The sequence below is a fragment of the Homo sapiens genome, chromosome 8 (genome assembly GCF_000001405.40).
Source record: "Homo sapiens chromosome 8, GRCh38.p14 Primary Assembly".
Classification (NCBI taxonomy): domain Eukaryota; kingdom Metazoa; phylum Chordata; class Mammalia; order Primates; family Hominidae; genus Homo; species Homo sapiens.
This window is the reverse complement of record NC_000008.11, coordinates 25,846,934-25,871,588: the sequence shown is the minus strand read 5'-3', so window position 1 is coordinate 25,871,588 and position 24,655 is coordinate 25,846,934. Positions and strand designations below refer to the sequence as shown.

Below are 24,655 nucleotides of genomic sequence, written 5' to 3'. Positions count from 1 at the left end.
CTCTTGATTAGCTTCTGTAATATTTAACTTCATGCCATGCCATAATTATTTAATAAAAGGTAAATATAAATTATATTTCAGTGGGGCTATGACCTTTTACCTTAATGTTATATTACTAAAGAAAGACATAGATAAATAGAGCCTATAGATTGAAGCATATTTTTAATTTACTCTGTTTTTGCCTTGCCAGCACTTCTCTGTATCCCTGTCAGCCAAAAGGTTGGCAGAACTTCACAGCATCCCCGCACTCCATGTGGTAGGCAAGGTTGTAAATTAACACTGATGATGGCAGTTAATGGCCTGGTTGGCCCTTGGAGACAGTCTTGGTGCTGGTCTTGGGCACCTCATTAGCTAATTGAGCTTTGCTTGGCTCATACCAGGACTGAAAAGCCAGAGAACGCCCAGGGAAGTAGGGAGGGGGAGGGAGGAAGTTGGGATTCAAGGTGAAGCTGAATCTAAGAGACGCAAAAGCAACTGGTCAGTTGGGAAGTCAGTCTGGAACCAAAGAGTTGTCAAACCCGGCCATGTGTTAAAGGCTGAGGTCCCTCTTATGGTTTAGTGTTGGCTAAACAGAGCTGGAGTACTTTCAGCTTCATGCTTTCTACTTCCAATGTGCACTTGATTAAATGAAATTCTGTCGGTGTGTATGTGTGAGTGTGATTTTCCCTGTCTGTGTAGGTAACTGTGTTTTACTGTCCTCTCTCTCACTTGGATGCACACGAGATGTATCCCATAGTTTATGCCTATGAAGTCTGGCAGGGACCTGCCAAAAAACAACATAAAAATAGACAATTCTGCCTTATCTACTTATTCAGTGTAAAACATGAATTGCCAGCCCAGTGTAGTAAAGATACTCTGCCATGTCTAATTTGGGAGCTGGGGAGGGGAGGGCAGGCAAGAGAAACTAGACATGACCCTGTATCCTAGTGGTTTGCAATCTGGTTGGGAGAACAATGGGTGCAAATGCGTGATAAATTATATTTTAAAAAAACTCATCTCCATCCCACCTCTGTGCACTGATTAGAGCCCAGCTCCAGAAAATTCCTCTCTGAGCAGCAGGAAGGACTAAGGGATAAGGAAGGTGGTGCTACCTGGCTGGACCCCCAAAAATGCTCTTGGGAGAGGCAGAGCACTTGCCAGGGTGGGGGACAGCCATGCAGATGGAAAGGGACAAAGGCAGAAATGGAGTCGGGGAGGGGTTATATTTTCTGCCTTATGGGTTATCTGTTTAGTTTGTATTTAGCACGTTGTGAGTGTACCCATATCAATAATTTTCCTGTTTTCTCTACGAAAATCTGCACTTTGGCTAACAAAATGGTGCATATTTCTAAAAAAAAAAAAAATTAGGCAATGATGAATTTTGAGAATTTCATCATCAAGTCTGTTTGCCCTGCAGCACCAGGCAGCTGTTTGTGTTTGCTAGTTGATTCCGCATGGGGTCTCCTTCTGGTCTCAGTGACAAAGTCAGGCAACACAGGCAGGACTTCATTCATGCTTTTGCATCTGTAGCTCTTGAAGCTGAGGAGGATGCCCATCATGCTCTTGCATCTGTAGCTCTTGAAGCTGAGGAGGATGCCCAGAGGGGGATGGAAGGATCATCATCTCTGGTTCTGCAGCAGGAAAGGTTAAGAGCACAGGCTTTGGAGTTAGAGAAGCAGGACACAGATCCCACCTTTACCACTTGGGACTGCATTGAAAATGGGGATAAAACCCACATTGTAGGGTTACAATCAGAATCGAACGAGCTAATGTGCCTAAAAGGCTTAGCAGAGTGCCCTTAACATAGTAAGGCTTCAGTACGTCCTAATGGTGGTAATAATGATTTTCACTATTGCATATTACCACCACTAAAAATCACATTATTTAAGAAAAAGTCTTCCCAAATTGCTGACATTATAAAGCTAAGTGGAAGAAAAAAGTTTACAGAATAATTCTACTTAAACATACGGCTATTCTTACATGTGTTTCTAGGTAAGATGGCCTTGTGAGTGCAAGTGTTTAATCGGCCCCCACCCCCAAAATATATTAGAGGATACTTTCAGGAAAACATAAAAATAAAGGAAATCTGGTAATAATGCTTGAAGCTAGGCTAAAGTCATTAGTATCCCAGAAATTTTGCATCATTGTGCTGGCATGTGCACACAGGGTCGTACTGGTGGACATGCGAATTCCAGCTGGCCTCCTCATTCCCCCTTAGGAAAGAGCAGCAGGGCAAGGAAGTGATGGGGGAGACACCAACAACCACCCTGAGGCTCCCCTGTCTCCAACTTGAGGAGTGAGAACCAGTGGCACAAGCAGAAAGTTGATCTTGAATGGGAGAGTGTACTTAACTATTCTATATCCAGAGCAGTTGTCATTTATGTGTGAGAAAGACAAAAAGATACTCTCTTATTTCAGTGGCCCAGACAGAATTTAACTCTTATTCTTATTGATAGCACCTGACTGCAGGAGAATTGAATCAATGAAGAATGCAAGATGGGAAAAGTTGTGCTATTGCAGGATTGGTGGTTGGCCGAGAAAGCAGTTAAATATAGAGTGTCTAAAAAATTCTTGTTAATATGGTGATGAGACTTAGTGGAAACATGAAAATTAGTTTCTAAAAATATAGAACATAGAAAATCTAAGAATAGTAAATCAGCTTGAAATGATAAACTGCCAACAAAAATGTATAAGTGGAGAGAAAGAGGTGGGAAGATAGAAGGCAAGCAAAATTCCTTATATATGGAGCGACTCAACACCTCAAATAATTAGGAAAAATAAAATATTTTCAGAGAAGTCTAAAGACACTTCTGTAAATTAAAATAGTATGTACAGACCAGGAGCTGTGACTCATGCCTATAGTCCCAGCAATTTGGGAGGCTAAGGCGGGCGGATTGCTTGAGCTCAGGAGTTCAAGATCAGCCTGGGCAAGATGGTGAAAACCCATCTCTACCAAAAATACAAAAATTAGGCATGTGGTGCATGTCTGTAGCCCAAGTTAGTCAGGAGGCTGAGGCAGGAGGATTGCTTGAGCCCAGGAGGTGGAGGTTGCAGTGAGCTGTGATCGTGCACTGCACTCCAGCCTGGGTGGCAGAACCAGACTTTGTGTCCCTGTCTCAACAACAACAACAAAAAGTGTGTATATCTCTCAAATCACTAGAAAAGTATATATATTTAAAACTATTAGAAATGAGAATGTGGGAAGACAAATTTATAGAAGCAAAAATGGATGTGTTAAAGTGATCAAAAAGATAGATGAAATAAGACATTAAAGCATTGCCCATAAAATGCAGACAAAACTAATATGTATTAATTCACAAAAATGCAATAAATTCCAAAAGGCACATACTGTGCAGGACACCTTTTAAAATCCAGGGCAGTTGGCTACAATAAGCAATTAACAGTTTAGTACTCAATTACCTAGAAATTTTAAGATACTCTTCCTGGAGCTAAAGGAAGTCAAAATTATAAATAGGACTAATCAGAAAATTACAACAAAATTGTGAAATACAGTAAGTTGTGGCAAAGATAAGTACTTAATGTTACACAACGAAATAAAATCCAGATAGGTTAAATAATTTAAATGTCTACATATATTTGTGTACATTTCAGTGGGCAGAGGGGGAGGGGAACTCTAGATCGGTTAGAAATTTTAAACAAATACAATATAGATTCTATGCTAAAACATTAACAATCTTGATGAAATGGATGATTTTTTCTAGAAAAAATACAATGATATTGAGAAACAATGAATTCAAGGTTTCTGATTGGCAGTCAATCATTTGGATGATGGTACAATTCACAGAAAATCTCATGAGCTTGGGTATCTTGGGTAGGGGGAATCTATGGACCATCTAAGTGGAATTTTCTAGCCAACAGTTGGATATTTAAAGCTGAATCTCAGGCCAGGTATCTAGTCTAGAGATCAAGATTTATGACGATTAGCATGTAGCTGCATGTGGAAATCATGGAGAATTGATGAAGTTGCCCAGGGGAACGTACAGCAAAGCTGAGGACTGCCTGGCAACCATCTTGAGGAGCATCATTTACAAGACAGGCAGAGAAAGAACAGTCCGCAAAGTAGTCTGACATGGCCAAAGAGGTAGGAAGGAAGCCGGGCAGTGTAAGTTCAGGAAGCCAGTGGGTGGGAGGGTTTCTAGAAGTGGAGAATATGAGCGGTCTCAAATGTTAACTCGGGGTTAAGAATGGAAAAGTTCCTGTTGGCTTGGCTAAAATGCTATTGGTGACCTTAGTGTGAGCAATGTTAACTAGGGTTCTTTCAAGTGTTTAGCAAGAGCTACTGTCCATGCTATGTAAGATTTATAGAGCATAGGATAAAATAAAGAAAACTTCTCAATATAGTTTTCAAAGCTCATATGAAATAAAAATCATTAGTTGGACAGAGCCATGCACACAATCCTAGTTATTAATATGGACACATAAATTCCTGACAGCAATAACAATAACTGATACCTGCGTGCTCACCAAGTGCCAGGCACTGTTCTTAGTAACTTGATTTAATCCTTGTGCCAGTTGTGTTAAGGAAATGTTAATCTGGTATTAATGGTTGAATCTGGTATTAATGGTTATATCTGAATTTAGATATATACCAAGAAAATGATACATTACTTCCATGAATTAATGTTTAATTTTGAAATATTAGAAAATATAAAATATAGGCCAGGCGCGGTAGCTCATGTCTGTAATCCCAGCGCTTTGGGAGGCCGAGATGGGTGGATCACTTGAGGTCAGGAGTTCGTGACCAGCGTGGCCAATATGGTGAAACCCCATCTCTACTAAAAATACAAAAATTAGCCAGGCATGGTGGTGCATGCCTGTAATTCCAGCTACTAGGGAGGCTGAGACAGGAGAATCGCTTGAACCTGGGAGGCAGAGGTTGCAGTGAGCCAAGATCATGCCATTGCACTCCAGCCGGGGTGACACAGCAAGACTTTGTCTCAAAAAAAAAAAAAATATATATATATATATAATATAATATAAACATTATATTATATTATATAAAAATTATTATATATATAAATTATATAATACATAAAAATTACATATAATATATATTATATATTTTTATATTATATATGTCCTATATATTATATATATTATATATTTTTATATTATATATCCTATATATTATATATATATATATATTATATATATAAATAAAAAATCTGGCCAAAAGAGAAAATTCATGTGACTGTGATTTTCTAAAACTCCAAGAAGTCCTGATAACCCTTATTGAACCCTTATTGAACCATGATAAATAATATCTATCTCAAATAGCCAACACCATATTTGGTGGTATAATATGTCATTCCCATTCAGAGAAAAACAAGAATATCCAACTTTATTGTCATTTTGGGGCATTGTTTGGGAAGTTTTAGCCAATACAAGAATAGGATTAAGAGAACTAAATGGGATTAATGCATCTATCAAAAGGAGACAAAATGATCACTGTAAGTAGATGATATGAATGTACAGGCCTAAGTAATAGAAAAAAAATAATGATATCTGTCAGGGGTTTTGGCTACAAAATAACAGTTACTTTCAGTTAAGATTTTTTTTTTTTTGAGACGGAGTCTTGCTCTGTCACCCAGGCTGGGGTGCAGCGGCGTGATCTTGGCTCACTGCAAGCTCCACCTCCTGGGTTCACGCCATTCTCCTGCCTCAGCCTCCCGAGTAGCTGGGACTACAGGCACCCGCCACCACGCCCGGCTAATTTTTTGTATTTTCAGTAGAGATGGGGTTTCACCGTGTTAGCCAGGATAGTCTCGATCTCCTGACCTCATGATCTGCCCGCCTCAGCCTCCCAAAGTGCTGGGATTACAGGCATGAGTCACTGCGCCTGGCCTGGTTAAGATCTTTTATAGGCCAGGTGCAGTGGCTCAGGTCTGTAATCCCAGCACTCTGGGAGGCCAAGGCGGACGATTGCTTGAGCCTAGGAGTTTGAGACCAGCCTGGGCAACAGGGTGAAACCCTGTCTCAAAAGAAAAAAGAAAAAGATATTTTATATGCCAAGCACCGTGCTGAGGACATTATAGAAATAGTTTTGATTTTGACAGCCAACCTATAAAATGGATTTTAAACAGCTCACGTTCACATACATTGTGGAGCTGGAATTCAGACCCTAGATCTACTCAACTCTAAAGCTGATTGTCTTCATCTGTATGCCATAGACTTCCTGCACAGATGTGTAAAACACAGAAGTGTTTCTAGACTCTAATAAAACTCTTGGACAATATGATTAATGAATAGCCATATTCACAGTAAAAACAAAAAGTGAAATACCAAAAAATTAAAATGGTAAACAAAAAATTTAGCACCTATATGATGAGCAGCACAGTTTACTGAGGGATCTAAAGAAGAAGGTGGAGTGTTGCTATTGCAAAGCCATCCATTTTCTCTCTAGCTGTAGGTTTAATGCAACTGAAATTTTTTTTGAAATTTCCCTAAGGTTAAACTGGAAAGAATAAATGGATAAGAATAATTGAGAAGGCCGGGTGCGGTGGCTCACACCTGTAATCCCAGCACTTTGTGAGGCCGAGGCAGGCGGATCACGAGGTCAGGAGTTCGGGACCAACCTGATCAACATGGTGAAACCCTGCCTCTACTAAAAATGCAAAAAAAAATTTAGCCAGGCATGGTGGCGCGCGCCTGTAAGCCCAGCTACTCAAGAGGCTGAAGCAGGAGAATCGCTTGAACCCGGGCAGTGGAGGTTGCTGTGAGCTGAGATTGCACCACTGCACTCCAGCCTGGGTGACAGAGTGAGACTCTGTCTCAAAAAAAAAAAAAAAATAGTTGAGAAAATGTAGTTTTAAAAGATTGTGTGTTTCTGGAAGGACACTTACCCTATCAAATATTAAATATGTATTACAACCTCAATAGGGTGACTTTTACCCAGAATAGATCAATAAAACAGAATATATGTATAGAAACCATTCAATAAATTGTGAAATACAGTTAAGTTGTGGCAAAGGTAAATTCTTAATGTTACATTACAAAGTAAAATCCAGATAAGTTAAATAATAAACATTCATATATGTATACATAGGTGTGTACATATACATTTGTGTGTGTGTGTGTGTGTGTGTGTTTGTGTGTATCTACCAGTTCTTGGAATAGAGGTGGTTTTTCTATACATAAAATACTTAAGGTCAAATTGGGATGTGATATTGCAACATGATACCACAGTATTAAAAATCTCAACATATAAAGTATTTTTACAAGTGAAAGAAGAGTGCAGAAAGTATTAACACGCAGTTTATAAAAGAAGAAATTAACATCAGCAAATATAAGAAAAAATTCTTCAACCTCACTGGTGAGTAAAAAAATGTAAGTTAAAATGAGCACACGCATTGCTGGAGGGAGAATAAACTCATACATTCTCCTGAGGAGTGATTTGACCGTATGTCTGAAAGGCCTGAAATATAAATCATAATTTTTGGTCCAGTAATTCCAATTCTTAGAATTTTCCAATTGAAATAATTAAAGTTATGCACAAAGGATAATTATTGCTCGATATTTATAATAGTGAGAAATTAGGATCACATTAATTGCCTGATATTAGGAAGCCATTTAAATAAATTATAGAACATGTCATAGAAAAATATGCAGGAATTTAAAATAATGTTATAAAAGAATAGTTAATGATCTTGGGGAAGTTTATGATATATTGTTAAGTGGATGAAAAGTAGGTTATGTAACAGTGTGAACGGTATGTCTCTGAATAATTTTAAGTATGTGTATAGGTTTCAATCTGGAAAGACATATGCAAAAAATGTTAATCCAGCTCATGTCTTAAGTGGGTTTATGGTAATTTTTTACTTCTATATTTAATGTTTGTAATAGTTTTTTACAAGAGGCATTGTTATGATAGAATAATAGCAACATATATATAAAAAATAAGATTAAAGAGGAAATAGACATTACTGTGTTTATTGCTGCATAACAGCAGTGCAGGTGATTATTTCATTCTTTGTATCTTTTTCTTTAATCATGTATTAATTTTAAAACCATGACATTTAAACAAGAAACTTTTAAAGAATAAATGAAAGGGAAGAAGGAGAAAGAATAAAAGCAGCATGCAGAAAACTCTTTAGAATAGTGGAAATGCTAAAGTATGCCATTCATTAATTCACTCATTCACTCACTCGTTTTATAATTACTGACACTAAGTGCCTTCTATGTGCCAGGCCCTGTCTTAACGGGAACATAGTGGTGAAATAAAATTTGTAGTATTCGTGGGGTGGGGGGCTGATAGTTACCAGACGTGGGTGTAATTAAATATAATTGAAAATTGTGGAAGCGTATTATGCATAAAGTGGGTTTTATGAGAATAAGCTCATAGAAGGTTTATATATGTATAAATATACATAAGAGACTGGTTAAGAAAAATATTTAGAAGAATATTTCATAGATATTTAGAAGAATAGACAGTGCAGTCCTACTTAAGAAAGAGATAAGAGAAAGGAAAATAATATAAAAGTAGTTTATTATCTTCATAAGAAATTGAGATATGGTTGCTTAATTTTTTATTTGATAGCAGAGAAGTTTATGTATACTTAAAGCAGAAATGATAATTATAATCTGAAATTTTGAAATGTTATTCTAATAGGAAACTATAAAAGTACTATAAATTCCAAATTTATATGTGAATTAACCAATGTCGATAGCAAAAACCCTAACTGATTACATCCATTATGCATCCAGAACCTTCTTATTACCTGTGGAAGAATTAATTAGAAGGTTTGCTTTATAGCCAGGATACCAACTCAGAAAGAGGACTTTTCTCTTTCAGCATTAAATGAACCCACCATAGACTATGGCTTCCAGAGACTGCAGAAGGTCATCCCTAGGCATCCTGGAGATCCTGAGAGATTAGCTAAGGTAATGTGCTTTGGAAATTGACATGTGAAGCCATTTGTGTAGAATTTCAGGAAACTTAGACAAATGCAGGCATTTACATCCCATTAAAATTAATTAGGCCTTGAAATTTGGCTAAGCTTTAGATACGAGATGCACATAAAATATCTGCTATGAAATATATTATGGTCTTATTTATTAATCTCTGAGGAAATATGAACATTTGAGCTGATTAAACAGATACACGACAGGAGTATTCAGTTTAAAAAACATGGCCAACTTTATGAAAATAAATAACTGCATAATTGGTTAAAAGTATAAGCTTCCACTCCTTTGTATTTAAATGTTTCTATTTAACCATAATTGCAAGGACTCATTAATCCACAATTAGTATTAATTATTGAGGGCCTACTATGTACGTAGGTATCTAATGAGGAGAAAAATGCTTCTGTATAAAATTTCTATGAAATACATCACTTTCAAGTGAACTTCCTTATGAAAATTACTTTATGAATTTGGCCCATGTTGTTAGCTTTCTTTAAAAAGTACATCAATTTATTAGTTGTCATTCAGCTGATGAGAAACTATTAAATTTTCACATTTATATTTGCACTTTAAACACACAAATTATAAAATGCCATATTCTCTTTTGCATACTGTGAATAAAATTTATGCACCAGAGTTGCTTCTACATCACACCTTTATTTTCCTCCTGGAAAAATCCCTAGCCCCACCATTAAATTAGATGATATCTGGAAAGTAGGTTAATAGCAATTTAAAAGGCTGTGTAAAACAGGAGGTGGAAAAGGCAAAATGAGAGGAAAGGGATTCGTGATTACTAATTCTCTGTGGTTAAAGTGTACAGGGGGAAATATTATTGAAAGAATTCATCTTTATTAGAATAAAATTTTGCAGCAGACGTTGCCAAGATAATTTCAGTACTCTGGACAACTCCTTGGCAAGCAGCTAAACTCAAATCCATCAATCATTTTAAGAATATTTGGTTAATTAGAGAACCAGATTTTTAAAACAGAATGGGCTGAAAGTAGCATTTAATAGAACTTCCATGACCTTAATAATTTTAATAAACTATACTCTCAATTGGGTTGTTTTTTGTTTTGGTAACACAATCATTTATAGAGCCATTTTATAGAGGTGAATTTCAGATAGATACGTATTTACAGAGAGATGTACATGTACAATTGTATTCTACCTGTCAAACCAAATATAGGACCTCTTGGCTAATTACTTACATTTTGGGAGGGATGTGTGGATTTCTCATTTTTGCCTATAATTTTCTTTTGTTTGCCATCTTGGATTTTGCCTTTGACAATATCCCATCCTCGCTTATTTTCCAGGAGATGCTGTTGAAAAGAGCTGCAGATCTAGTGGAAGCTCTTTATGGCACACCACACAATAACCAGGTGAGATACTGACATCCTATCCTTTATTGAGTTTTGCACTTTATGCTGGATAGAATGCTCACATTAACCTGTTGTTTTGTAGGACATCATTTTGAAGCGAGCCGCAGACATTGCTGAAGCTCTCTACAGCGTCCCCAGGAATCCCAGCCAGCTTCCAGCCCTCTCTAGCTCCCCAGCGCACAGTGGCATGATGGGAATCAACTCCTATGGCAGCCAGCTTGGGGTCAGCATCTCAGAGTCAACACAAGGAAATAATCAAGGTACCACCTTTCTTAGAGTCAAAATCCAAATATGTCTAATTTAAAAAGTTCTGCTGGAGTGGACAGAGTCAGAGGTTGGGTCATAATGGTCCAACAGAGTGTGTCCACAGATAGGCAATACAATCATAGATTGGGTTATTTCAAGATTATAGATGGTACTTTATTAGAGTTTGAGCTTCTTAGGTACCAGGTAGAATGTCTGGAAATATTTAAGGGGAAGATTGAGTATTACTACCAGGTTTGGTGGCTCACACCTGTAATCCCTGCACTTTGGGAGGCTGAGGCAGGTAGATTGCTTGAGCCCTGGAGTTTGAGACCAGCCTGGGCAACATGGTGAAAACCCATCTCTATAAAAAAATAGCCAGGTGTGGTGGGCAGATGTAGTCCCAACTACTTGGGAGGCTGAGGTGGGAGGATCACATGAGCCTGGGAAGTCGAGGCTGCAGTGAGCAGTGGGGTGCGCTGGCACACTGCAAATGAGCCGAGGCTGCCTGTGCAGTGTGACAGTGCACTCCAGCCTGGGCAACAGAGCGAGAACCTGTCTCAAAAAAAAAAAAAAAAGGATTGGGTATTATCAATTTAGAAGGGTTTGGGCTTATAGAAAATAGGTTTACAGGTATTAATTTAAAAGAAATTTATGCTTCTGTTATTGTGATTATCAGATTGAATACTGGAAAGAAACTGATTATTGCCATTATCATTTATGATACCCAAATTTCTCTTCCTGGTAGCCAAGAGTGAATGGCTTGGTTTTATTTGGTAACTTCTATTTTGTATTATTTCATATATATAACAACAAACAAATATAAAGACAACTGTGCTTTTACATGTGAAGCAGACCGTGTAAAGACATTTGCATTGAGATTGATTATTGAAGTGCTAAGTCGAAATCTGTCACGAATCATTTTTAAAAGGAGTAAATGTTCCTAATGAGGTCCTTAACAATGGGATAGTTTTTTCTAATTTTATTTGTTGGAAGAGAATTCCTCATTTTTTTTTTGCCCAGGGAGAGTTCTTACAAAAGAGTAGGTGAGCCGGGTGTGGTGGCTCACGCTTGTAATCCCAGCACTTCAGGAGGCTGAGGTGGGCAGATTGCTTGAGCTCAGGAGTTTGAGACCAGCCTGGGCAGCATGGTGAAACCCTGTGTCTACAAAAAATACAAAAATTAGCCAGGTGTGGTAGTGCTCATCTGTAGTCCCTGCTATTTGGGAGGTTGAGGTGGGAGGATAGATTGAGTCCAGGAGGTTGAAGCTGCAGTGAGCCATGACTGTGCCACTGTACTCCAGCCAGGGCAACAGAGTGAGATCTTGTCTCAAAAAAAAAAAAAGACTAGACAGGACATATTATTATTTTTGTTTCTGTAGACATGAGGCCCATAGAACAAATATCAAATTCTTTTTCATTTGGTGACAAATTTGGGTTGTTTCCTATATAGTTTTAGAGACAGTAATCCAAAGTGTTTTATTCCAGGACATATGATACGATGTTTCTGAGCTGTGGTTTCTCACTCCTTCCCCCGTCCCAGGCATAGACTGGGTCCCCCATGCTCACTGCTGATGCCCCAAAGTCCTAGGTCAGAGAATAGCACATTTTAGGGGAACTCATCCACACTTTTTGAATGAAATTGATCCCCACTTGCACCTAGGGTGTGGCAACAACTTGGAACTGACGTTTCTAAAACTGTGTTCCATAGAATACAAGTGGCCCCAGAGAGGTGAAGATACCGTTCCCCTCCAGGCCCCGCCAAAAGATGCTATGGCATGTTAAATTTGGCAAACACTAGGCTAGCAAAGTTAAACCAGTTTATTTATTCTCTAGGCCTTCTGTATATGAATCAAGAAATGGCTACAGTGCATAACATCTGCCCAGCCTAACTTGACCACAGAATGTTTTCTCAGTGACACCAATCATATCTCACTGGACTCCAGTGTCATATGAAATATGATTTGGGAGAGGGAACTCCACACTGCTATTAGCCATTCGCTCCTTGGTGTAAGCTGGAGGTGCTGAGTGCAGGTTTGAATGGAGTATCAAGGGCATGGCCTTACATAGATGGGGAAGAGAGAGAAAGGTATAAAAGGCTGAAGATGGGCTGGGCGCACTGGCTCACACCTGTAATCCCAGCACTTTGAGAGGCTGAGGCTGGTGGATCATGGGGTCAGGAGTTCAAGAGCAGCTTGGCCAACATGGTGAATTCCCGTCTCCACTAAAAGTACAAAAATTAGCCGGGCGCAATGGCAGGGTGCCTGTAATCCCAGCTACTCAGGAGGCTGAGGCAGAAGAATCACGTGAACCCGGGCAGCAGAGGTTGCAGTGAGCCAAGATCGTGCCACTGTACTCCAGCCTGAGCGACAGAGTAAGACTCTATCTCAAAAAAAAAAAAAAAAAAAAAAAAAAGCTAAAGATGGACTGCACACTTCCTACAACTGCCCGGGGCAGCTGGTGACATTCTGCAGTCTGGGGCCAATGAGGACCTGTGCTAGCCACATGTGGCCTGACTGTGCACGCCTGTTGATTTACCTGGGCTTTTTCTTTGTTGCCAAGGGTACATCCGCAACACAAGCAGCATCTCTCCGCGGGGATACTCTTCCAGCTCCACGCCTCAACAGTCTAATTACAGTACCTCCAGCAACAGTATGAATGGCTACAGCAATGTCCCCATGGCCAACTTGGGTGTTCCAGGTTCACCAGGATTTCTAAATGGCTCACCCACCGGCTCTCCTTATGGAAGTAAGTGACCTCTCCATCACTTGGCTCTCCATGCTTTTTTGTCTCTGGGTTTTACTATTGGGCCTTTTGGGAGAAAGTTGCATTTGTAAATCTTCCTAAGTTGTCGGGGAGCAGCCTAGTTTCCTGATTAAGCATCCTTCCTGCCTTTCGTTCTTTTCCCTTAGCTGGACTTTGGCTCACGTGGTTACTCAAGGCCTTTTGGGGAAAGAAAAGGATTGAAACAATTCCGTTTTTATAGAGAAAGAGCATGTGTGGCCTGTGTAAGTGGAAGCAAGGAATTAAGATTCCATTTCTGTTAACAATATGTGTGCTCTTAGGCACTTTCAGATGTAATATTTTATTTAATCTCCATAAGAACTTTTCGATAAGAACTTTTTCTTCATGTTATAGACAAGGAAGTTTGGCTTTGCTGCAGTTTTCTGACTTAATCAAGATCACATAGCTAGAATAGAGCAGGGTAATAATTTAGGCACAGTCCTGATGACTTTGAGTTATTTTGTGTATCACACCATGCTGCTTTTTGACTTTGCAACCTGGTTTTCCCCTCCTTTCAGTACCTCCAGAGAGGTGGAAGTTGACTGTGTGCAATCATGTGATATATTGAGACAGAACCTCTTCATCTTAATCTGTGGTCTAGCAGCAAAGTCCCTGCTCTGGGAAGTTGTGAAAACCCCATTTGGGTTGCTTTGGGAGGTATGCCGGGAAGTTACACAATGCTCCCAGGAGCCTGAGAGAGTGCATTTTTCAAACCTACCTAGGGAATATTTTAGGCCAGGGGACAAGCTGACATGGAGAGGCTGAAGTGATTGAGTAGAGTGTTCTCGAAATGCTGGGTCTTGTTGCAATTCTCTGCACCTTGCCCTCTTTTTACCCAGTGTGGTTCCCTTGTGCCAAGAGCAAGGACATGTCAAGGGCAGCATGCAGCCACGTCCACCATAGCTTCAGAATTGACATGTCACAGAAGCTGCCTTTCACAGTCTTTGGACTTTTGGTTCCCTGGGGAGACACACCTATGAGCTATTTCTGGATTATCAGTTCAATGCATACACTCTACACTACACGGTGAGATAAAGATATAGCACCAAGCAGCGAAGGGTAGTAGAGGTCAGTTCTTCTAGTGCAATGAAAATCTTCTTACTGCAAAGACAAGAGTTCTATGTTGTGTCTTGTCAGGTGGCCTAAGTTAATTAGATAACAGTCTAGAGAAATAAATGATTGCTTGATTTGTTTCTACCCCATAGTAGGTAGAAACAAATTCCCCCAAATTTTTGGAAATTCTTGTTCCAAAAAGTGTTTGGGGGAATTATTGCAGTCAAATAGATAGTATGAAAATATAAAACAGAGTCTAACAAGAAACTGAGCTAAAAGAAACAAATATGGTTCAGGAAATTAGAAAATGCCAGGGCCAGCATGAATATCATTTGGTCTATTCAAGGGAGTCATTTACTTTGCTCTGAGTTTACAAGAGGCTAAAGCAAAGAGAGAAACACTATTTGTTATAAGATTTTATGTCCACACATTATTTTTTAAAGTAGCTCAGAAGAAAGGTGGCTATTTCTGTTACTGAGATGTTGGAGAGGTCTTTCCCATGCTTCCTCCTGGAGGTGGTGTCTGGTGTGGTAAAGAGACCACATCTTTAACAACCCCTAAACATGATGCAGTGGCAAGAGATCCATTGTGTAAACAATGATATAACAGTGACAACAATAAGATGAATTAACAATTACATTCCACTTTACAGCTTACAAAGCATGTTGACATCTAGAGTCCAGTCAGAGCCTCACAACAACCTTGTGACATGGATACAATCATTTTTATCATTATCCGTTGTAAGAGATGAAGAGTTATTGAATGACTTAAGAGTTCATAGCCAATAAATAGTAAAAAAGGGACTAGAACACATCATCACACTCAGAATACCACGTTTTTAAATTATTAAGGAATATTTAATGTATTTATAGTGTAATATTAGGCTAAACCATAGGAAATTCCCTCTATTTGACCATTTTGATCTACAAAAGTGGCAATTTCATATCATTCAATCATAATCTATGTAGGTATGAATGAAGTTGAATCATAATAGTTGTTTTTGTACATAAAAATGATCAATTTTATAATACAGTATGTAGTGTGGTAGTGAAGAGGATGGAGAAGAAAGGAGAGGAAAAAAAGATGAATGAAAATGCACAGTTAGGTGTGAATTTCTTAATATTTCTTCCTAAATAATTCATTTGGTAGAGAGAAATCCTTCCCACTCCCACCAGTGACGACTTCCTTCTACTGTTCTTTCATGATCACCCAAACCCACTGCCACAAGAAAACTAATAACACCCCAAATCTTCAAATTACCCATTAAAATGAGATGGTAGACACAGAATAGGAAAAAGAGGAAGGCAACCTGCCCAACTGGGAGACAGAAAGAGAGACGGGAGAAAACCTCCTCCCTGTACCTATTGAATCTGGTGTGGTGGTTTGCACCTTCACTTTTGGAGGGAGGGTCTGAACGAGTTGCAGCCTAGGAATGAAATTCCAAACAGTGCATTCATTACAATCAAATTCACTTACTCCAAAAATACTGAATACCCAGTGGAGTTCATTACAATAGCACCTGACCTGTATTTCTAGCCAGCCAAGTCTTTACTTCTCTGGGAAATACAAAAAAAGAAAAGCCCGGGGGAAAACATTTTGTCAATTCAGTTGCTTGTGTCTGAAAACACAATTCTATGATTTTTTTTAAAATGCATCTGATGTGGCTGGACCATGCCACGGAGCAAATACTTGCCAGAGACACTAAGTAAGAAAGAGCCAAGCTTCTTAGTCAAGTTTGACTTGCATGACAGCCAACGTAGAGTATCAGAAACCCGCATCTTTACTGTTTTTGCTCTCGCACTACTTCAAAAATGGCCAAACAGATGTTTTTTCAATTTTACATACAAACTTCACTTCCTGGCAGTAGCAGTGTGCCAAGTTCCAGCTCAGTGCAAGTTTTTATGGCTGAATTCTAAACCCCTGACAATAGGGGATTATAATGAAATGCTGACAGACCCCTTAGCTCCAAAAAATGCACTGGCTTGATGCAAAGGAGGATATGTGCCCGGTGAGTTCCAGCTGAGACTATGCAAGCCAATCAATCCTCCTACAAAGAAAAGTGGTTTTTCCTTAACTCCCCATGTTCACAGAGATTTCTGGGCCAGACGTACTTTTCTTTACTTTGGCCTCTATCCATAGAGAGATAGATGTCCAGAGAAATTCTTGATTGGAAGTACATGCAATCAACTTTCCTAAAATGGTTCTCTCTGCAGTCCCAAAAGATTGTCTATTTAACAAGCCTGTAACACCCATAGGGACCACTTCTTCCAAAGCAGAATAGCCACCAAGCCTACGCAGAGTTTGGGACAGAATCCATACAGGCAGGAAGCCAACTTGTCCTCATAGATTCCTACATCATGTTCAGAGCCTTAGACCATGCTCTGGGGTTCAATTGTTTTATAGTTTCAAAAATAAATACTAAGACATTCTCTATTGTAAAATATTAAATTATTATTACAGAAAATGTAGAATGTATAAAAATAATTTTTAAAAGAAAGCGTACTCCCACCATAAGAATAACCTCTTTGAATTCTGATATATTTCTACTTCTTCAGAAAAGAAAAAAAAAGCCTATTAAAATAGTAGTATTCTCATTACAGACAACTTGAAAAGCACGTATAGGTAAAAAGGAGGAAAGAAAAATGGCACACTCTGTGTCTGTGCAGAGGTAACCATTGTTAATTTTTAAAGGATAGCCTTTCAGTCATGGATAGATACATTTTGAAAATTGCAGTGTCTGCTCTGATGCACAACTAATGAGATTCTGCCATAAGATCAATGAAAGAGAGGGTGGAAGGAAAGCAGTAAAATTACCAAAGTCACAGATATGAAGCTGGGCTGCATAAAATCCTTCAGTGATGCAGACCCAGGTCATAAGAATGGGGAACAGAGATATGAGGAGTGGTGTTTGCTTTCAAAAGTTGACTACAATCACCAAGTGTTTCCCAGGAATGTGAGGATTTATTCATCTCTTGCTTTTTTTTTTTTTTTGGAGGTGGGGGTTGGTATTAGAGTAATAGACAACTTTGTTTATAAGTAGTACAGCCTTAAATGAAAGAGGAAAGTTAAAATTATTTTTAAACACTATTATGTCTATTGCTAAGGATTGTATTATTTCTTCCCAAAGAAATCGAGATTTTCCATTTTTAAAATGTAATAGCCTTTACTGGTTTCTCCTACCATGTATTAAAAGTAATACAAGTTTGTTGTAGAAAACTTTGAAGATACGGACAAGTGAAAGCAATACATTTAAGGGTATTCATAATCCCATCAGCCAGAGATACCATTGCTAAAATTTTGGGCATATATCACATCCTTCTAGAGTTTTGCTATTTGTATTTTTAAAAATTAAAGGGGGCTTAGTATGTGTTATGTAATCTGTTTTTTTTTCATCTGAAGAGGTGTATATTTCCATGTGATTATTCTACAACGTTAGTTTTAATATTGGCATAGCCTTCTATTGTATAGGCTAAATATAATGTACCCTACTGTGGGACACTTAAGTTATTTTCCAATTTTTCATTATTATAAAAATGCCCTTGAACCTATTATTTTTGGCACAGTCGTGACTACCTCCTTGGGATTAATTTCTAGAGATTGAATTAGTGGGTCAAGGGATGTACACATTTTAAAATACTTTTATATATATTGCCAAAGACCCTCCAGAGAGGTTAATTCTTCCCTTAGAAAAGAAAGATTATTATATGTTTCCCCGCCCTGTTAAGTTTTTCTATTTAGTGAGTGGAAAATAAGATCTTTTTACCGTTTTAATTAGCATTTTATTATGAATCAGTTTGAGTGTTTCTATATGGATCTCTCTTGGTCATTTTTATTCCTGATTTTCTTTTTTTGTGTCCTTTGCTTATTTTTCTCTTGGGGCGTTTTTCTTTTTCCAATTAACTTATGAGCTATTGAGGATATGAACATATCTAAATAAGTATTACAAATATTTTTCTTAATCTGTCATTTGCCTTTTTGTGTTTGTTGCAGAAGTTTTTCATTATGTGGCAAATCTATCTTGTGAACCTCTAACCATCCTAACAGCTCTACTAGCACTTTTACAATTTTGCTTTTAAAAATGTCTTTAATCTACTTAGATTTATTTTGGTGTTTAGCAGGAGAAAGTACTCTAAACTTAGTCTTCAAATGGTTAGTGTATTTTTCCATGCATTTATTTTCCTACTAATATGAAATGTCACCTTTATTAAGTATTAATTCCCATCTATACCCAGGTCTGTTTCTGAACTCTATTTTGCTCTAAAGATTTGTCTGCCTATTTCTGTGCTAGCACAATGCTGATTTCACTGATGAAGATAAGTGCCTTCTTACTACTTAAAAAAAGTTTTTAAACAAAACTTCCTGTCTCTTACGGTGTTGTTTTATGAAACAGATAAACATAGTAATTGTGTTTGCCGAAATGCACAAATTAAAATTCCTTTCAGCATTTTTATTATAGTTGCATCGAATTTTAAATTCAGTTGAATGCATTTTGGCATTTTTACAAAATTGTTGTAAGAAATATTTAAAACGGGCATGTACTTGCTCAACTCTGCAACAATTCCTTCACGTCACTTAGTAAAGCTTGAGGTGTTTCCTCTCCCACTGCAAGGGAACCATTTTTGATCTAATGGGCCCTGCTTTCCGTTGAAATCTGTTATTAGAAAATAATTATCTGTACTAGTGAGTCATTTGCTGAATATAAATGGAATGGAGTGTGTGTGAATGCCTCATTCACATTGTAAAAACCTCTTCAATGATGATGTCTGAGAGGAGGTTCTGCTGTTGTAGACAGGGAAACCAAGGCGCCATTTGGGGGACCATGGTAGAATCAGGGCCTCCTAAGTCCCAGCTTTTCTTTGGCTTCTAATTCTGTACCGTAGAGAAAATGAAAAGTTGGGGATTTTTTGCTTTTGGATTTTTTCTATTTCACTAATGCCAAACCCAAGGCTAGAAGAGATTTTGCTCAGAACCATGAATAAGACCCACTCCTCATGCTTAACCCTGTGTCCTTATTATGTGAATTAGCCCAACAGTGTTTTTATTCATTTACATATTCAAGTATTACATGAGATTCTTCCAGAACTTTGTTCTCCTTTCCAATTTTTTTCTTTTTATCCATATATGAGGAAAGACAGATGTACTCAGATGCATAGCTCCTTAAATCAAGACTACTTTAAGGATAAGATGTTTTTAGAGAAAGCTCTTCTTTTGAAGTCTTTGGATTTTAGTTTGGCTATAAAAGACATCATATGGGAAGTATGCTATATAAGTGCTTTATACAGGCAATTGGGTGGACGTGGCCCAAAATATATTTTTATAGGGAAGGAGGGGAAATGAGGGTGGAGTTGTCCATGGACATCAGAACATTTGACCTTCAGTTCACCTTGTACTTGGTTGGTCAGTCATAAGTGTCGCCCTTGTCCTCACTTTCGAATTTACTTTGAAGGACAGGTGGTCCATTGAAAATACAAAGCAAGAAATAGCACTGCTGGGCTTGGTCATTAGGCTCCAACAACACTTTTGTCAAGTCATGTGACTTGGACAGTTCAGAATTCTGGGAATTATGCTAACACAAGTGCCTAAAACTATACTATAAGGTGCTATATTTAAGAGTTTTGCCCTTGTGTACTCTAGTTTACTCCTTTCTTAAGTTGAACATAGAAGATAAAATTATCATCTTGCATGATATAACTTGGTGGAGTATCTGACATTAAGAGGTGGGGTACTTCATTATGTAAATTGCTTTTATTTTTTCTTGGAAATTATAATGCTTGGCTTTTGTCTTCCCTTAAGTCATTTTAATGTTAATATCACTAATATTGGTGTTTTTTCTAAACATTATGTCAGGGGAGGCCGACTTGCAGCTATATTTCCCAAGAGCACTTGAAATTACGGGAGAGGAAGACGGTTTTCTGAATGTTAATACACTTTTACATTTAATGAGGAAGTGGCCCATAGAGATGGCACTCTCAGAGAAGATGTTAACCCTACAGACCAAACCCCTGGAGCCTTAGGAGTTATGGGGGAGGCACATAGCTCCCAAATAGGACTTTTTTTGTAGGGTGTGAAAGCGATTTCCATTGCTGGGTAGATTTGATGATTTTTCAGGCATGTTTGATCTCAGTCTTCTCTCTTGCCAAGCTTCTGCTTGTGAATGAAGACCTGTGCTAACATCACTTCCTGAAGCTGCCTTCCTGACTCTCCCAAGCACAAGTGCCCTTTGCTGTCTGCATCTCTTGGGCATTGGGTACCTTCCTCTAATAGCGTCATTACCATATTAGTTGTTTTATGTGTCTGTTCCTCCCACTGGACATGGTGGGAATGTTGTCACATTCAACTTTTTTTTTTTAATCCCTGCAATCTGGAACAATGCATGGAAATTAACAATTTCTCAATAAATGTGTGCCAAATGTGTGAACTGAAGGAAGATCTTAATTTCTAAATGAGGATTGTGCATTTGCTTTCCAGTCATGTCATCAAGTCCCACCGTTGGGTCTTCCAGCACATCCTCCATCCTCCCATTTTCCTCTTCAGTTTTTCCTGCTGTCAAACAGAAGAGTGCCTTTGCCCCTGTCATCAGGCCCCAAGGCTCCCCTTCACCTGCCTGCTCCAGCGGCAATGGAAATGGATTCAGAGGTAAGCAAGGGTTCTATTTTGGGGATACACAATGTACCATAGGGTTGGCAAAGTAAGAGCAAACAGCACATCATTGTATAGCTCCAGCCATTTACCTGCAAAGAGATGCTTTGCTGTTCTTATCATGGGACATGAATGGCTTCTACAGCTAGGCAAGTGCTCCATCTAAAAGCAAGATGGGGCCAGGCATGGTGGCTCATGCCTGTAATCCCAGCACTTCGGGAGGCCAAGGCAGGTGGATCACTTGGAGGTCAGGAGTTTGAGACCAGCCTGGCCAACATGGTAAAACCCTGTGTCTACTTAAAATACAAAAATTAGCTGGGTGTGTTTGTGGGTGCCTGTAATCCTAGCTACTCGAGAGGCTGAGGGAGAAGAATCGCTTGAACCTAGGAGGCAGAGGTTGCAGTAAGCTGAGATCGCGCCATTGCACTCCAGCCTGGGCAACAAGAGCAAAACTCCATCTCAAAAAATAATCAAATTTTTTTAAAAAGTAAGATCAGGGAAAACAGACATCAGCAAACTCTGCAGGTAATGGAATTAACCATGGTTAATACAACTGAGGAGTGTCTGGACTTCCCAGCCCTATGCTGTCCACAAGGCCATTCTGCTATCTCTCAGAAAATGCCCAGTCACCCCAGGGGATACCACATGGTGCTTTCTGCTTACCTAATCCGCTTGCCATCATGTCCTCTTGGCATACATGGACAGGAGCCAGCAGGAGCAACCAACAAGTTCTGAGAATTCTGGTTACATGCAAGTCAAATTGATAGCAGGTGCCTGATTAGGGGGTTGTGGAGAATAGAAAAGTCATAGTTTCTAAGAACAAAAGTTATCCATCAAACCCATTTTTGAGCAATGTTCTAAAATATAATATGGCATGACATAACACAAATGTGATGAGTATATGAAAAATCATCTCATTGTGGATGGAGGGCAGCAGACAGCAAAAGAGCACATTGGAAACTGCTGAGGACTGGGGCTCACTGGCAACCCACATTATTTTTAGGCTGCTCCTCTCATGTTCTTGACAAGAAAATATTTACAACAAGCAGGGTTGGGTAAAACTAAAAAGGGAAGAGGTTTCATTAACCCTCATGGATCAAAGGCTGTAAGGTCAGCAGTGCTTGATGGGGAACCTTGGATGGGCTGCATTGTCCTGGGGATGGCATCTGCCTGGTGGTTTGATGATAGAGTGTGGGTTCTTAATTCTTTTGGGACACGTGTGAGAGGTCAGTCTCCTCTTGTGGCTGAGCAGAGCTCTGGGAGGTACGTTAGGTTCCTGAGCCATCCCAACACTGGAGATGATGGTGTCTTCTGGAAGTCAAGTGACTCTACAGAGAAACTGTCAAAACCAGAATGGAAAACCCAGTACTCAGAAACATTGTTGAAAATTATTTTACTTCTCACTAGAGAAAGCAGCGGGGTCTATATACCACCCAATGTATGGGTAGTTGGAAACATCTGGAAACTTCATGGATTTTTTGGCAGGGATTTTCACCCAGATGTCTAATTCCTAGAGAAATAGGCTGAGCCTGTAGCTAAGTGTCTCCACTTGCCCATCTTTCATCAAAGACCAGTGGTTTCCATCCCATCCTTAGGGAATGTGCCCAGAGCTTTTTCCATGAGACAGGGAAATGAAAACGATTGCTGAATATTTACCGTACTTTCCTTCCTCTTCCCCATGACCTCTTCAGTGTTGATGTTTCCTCTTTTTAAGTTCTCTGGTTTTATTCATCGACCTTAACCCGAGTGGAGGCCCAGCAAGTCTTACTGGCAAAATGCAGATTGAGACAGACCAAGGAGGGGTGCAGGCTTTCCTCTGCATTGGACGGGAGGCAGACAGGATGGATGCAGCCCTTTCCTCATTCCTGGCCACTTAGCACATATGTTACTTAAAGGAAAAAAGGATACTTGACTTCCACTGATCACCCCTTCCCCACCTCCTCTCTCACGGGAAAGTGGAGCTGGTTGTCTCAGATCTTCTCTATTTTACCTGGCTCTGAGCCTACAATGGGGCCAGGACAAGTTTCTTACAGACTCCCAGGGCCTGTCATCCCCACCCCACTTCCTGCTGCATGCCCAAGACTCCCGTGCTGTTACTGAAGTCAGGTTTGAGCCAGCCCAAAGAGCTGGAAGGAAACCTTGCTTGGTCTTAGTAAGGTTCCCTGTGAGGGCAGCTGCAGCAGAAACAGAAGACCCTCTCCAGGGTCCCCAGCCACACAAAATTCTGGTCACCACCCCTCAGGATGCTCGGGCTGAGCAGCACATTCCTGATAGGTTTATAGGAGCAATGACTTGGTGAGTTGCATGTAGGCACAGGCTCTAGGCTCTAGCTTCATTTCTAGAGTCACTGTAAGGTCCCAAACCTCATTTGAATCCTTCAGTTCCCTCCACATTCCTCTGGTGATTTGAACCTTTAAAAGAAGAAGGGGCCAGGCGTGGTGGCACACACCTATAGTCCCAGATACTTGGGAGGCTGAGGCAGGAGGATCACTTGAGCCTAGCCTGTGCAACATAGCAAGACCTCATCTCTAAAAGATAAAAGTTTTTATAGGTTTTTTTTTAAAAGAAAATTTCATTAATTTTGGGGGTACAGGTGGTTTTTGATTACATGGATAAGTTCTCTAGTGGTGATTTGAGATTTCGGCGCACGAGTTACCTTAGCAGTATCCACTGTACCCCATATGTAGTCTCTCTAAAAGATAAAATGTTTGGAGTAGGTCGGGGAGGAAAAAAATAGAACTACCTGTCGATTTAGGGCAGTAGCCTAAAAAGAAATTGCAAAAAATCTATGAAAATATCAAGTGACGTGTGGAGAAATCCTTAAAGAGTATTAGCCACTGGAAGAGTGCTGGCCATGATGTCACCAGTCCTGTGCTGAGTTCTAGTTCAGCTCTTTCCGGGCCTTGTCAATCTGTGCATGCCATTATCTCAGAGCCTCAGTTTCCTAGTCTGTTAAATAGAAAATCGACAGCTATCCCCAAAGGTGGTTGTTGACTAATTTGTGTGAAGAACTAGGCAAGGTAACAGATATTTCCTACAGCCTGGCTGGGAGGAGGCGAGGGTTGACAAAGGATGCCCTCAGTGACCTTACCTTATGCTCTTCCTCGTTTTAGACCAGGTGCATGGAAGCTCAGTGTCCAACATTGTGAAGTTCCCTTGAGTACAGAGAGAGAGGAAACCAAGCTGACATTTAATGCACAGTCACTGAACAAAACAAACAAACAAAAAATCCTGGGATCTCAGACACCAGCTGGACAGGGAGCTCCATCTTTTTAGAGATACACAGTGGGAGGGTGACAATGTGGGCTGAGTGCCTGGGTGATCGCAGGCTGGGGAGGGGCCCTTCTCTAGACTTCATTGTCTGCAAAGGCATATGCTGCCCACACTCTTTGAGGCTTGCTAACTATCCTGAGCACTATAGGCAAGGTGCCGAACTGAGTGCCTTAAGAGAATTATCTCCAAGTCATGCCATTATCACCATTCTTAGTTAAGCAGTTTACCCAAGGCCACACAGGAAAAGTCTGATGACTTGAACCCAGACATGCAGATTCCAGAGCTTGTGCTCTGGCAGCCCACTGTGTCTTCAGGGACAATGAGAGTGAAATTCTTCTCTTTACCCTATACCCCCTACCCCCATACCTACTTTCCACCTGGTTC

General features: G+C 39.5%; 1 protein-coding gene and 1 long non-coding RNA gene across 2 annotated transcripts in view; one reads left to right on the top strand and one right to left on the bottom strand.

Annotated features, from left to right (window-relative positions):
• EBF2 (EBF transcription factor 2) overlaps nucleotides 1-24,655 on the top strand; it is a 203,689-nt gene that overhangs the window by 173,825 nt on the left and 5,209 nt on the right. The window contains exons 11-15 of the mRNA NM_022659.4: nucleotides 8,792-8,880; nucleotides 10,215-10,280; nucleotides 10,363-10,540; nucleotides 13,085-13,270; nucleotides 20,828-20,995. Of these exons, the coding sequence (NP_073150.2) occupies nucleotides 8,792-8,880; nucleotides 10,215-10,280; nucleotides 10,363-10,540; nucleotides 13,085-13,270; nucleotides 20,828-20,995 (687 nt within the window). The remainder of the gene's footprint in view (nucleotides 1-8,791; nucleotides 8,881-10,214; nucleotides 10,281-10,362; nucleotides 10,541-13,084; nucleotides 13,271-20,827; nucleotides 20,996-24,655) is intronic.
• LOC102723395 (uncharacterized) lies at nucleotides 1,530-22,756 on the bottom strand. The gene is made up of 3 exons (XR_001745848.2): nucleotides 22,655-22,756; nucleotides 21,662-21,772; nucleotides 1,530-1,610 (listed from the first exon to the last, which is right to left on the bottom strand). It is a non-coding gene; the product is annotated as an uncharacterized LOC102723395 (long non-coding RNA).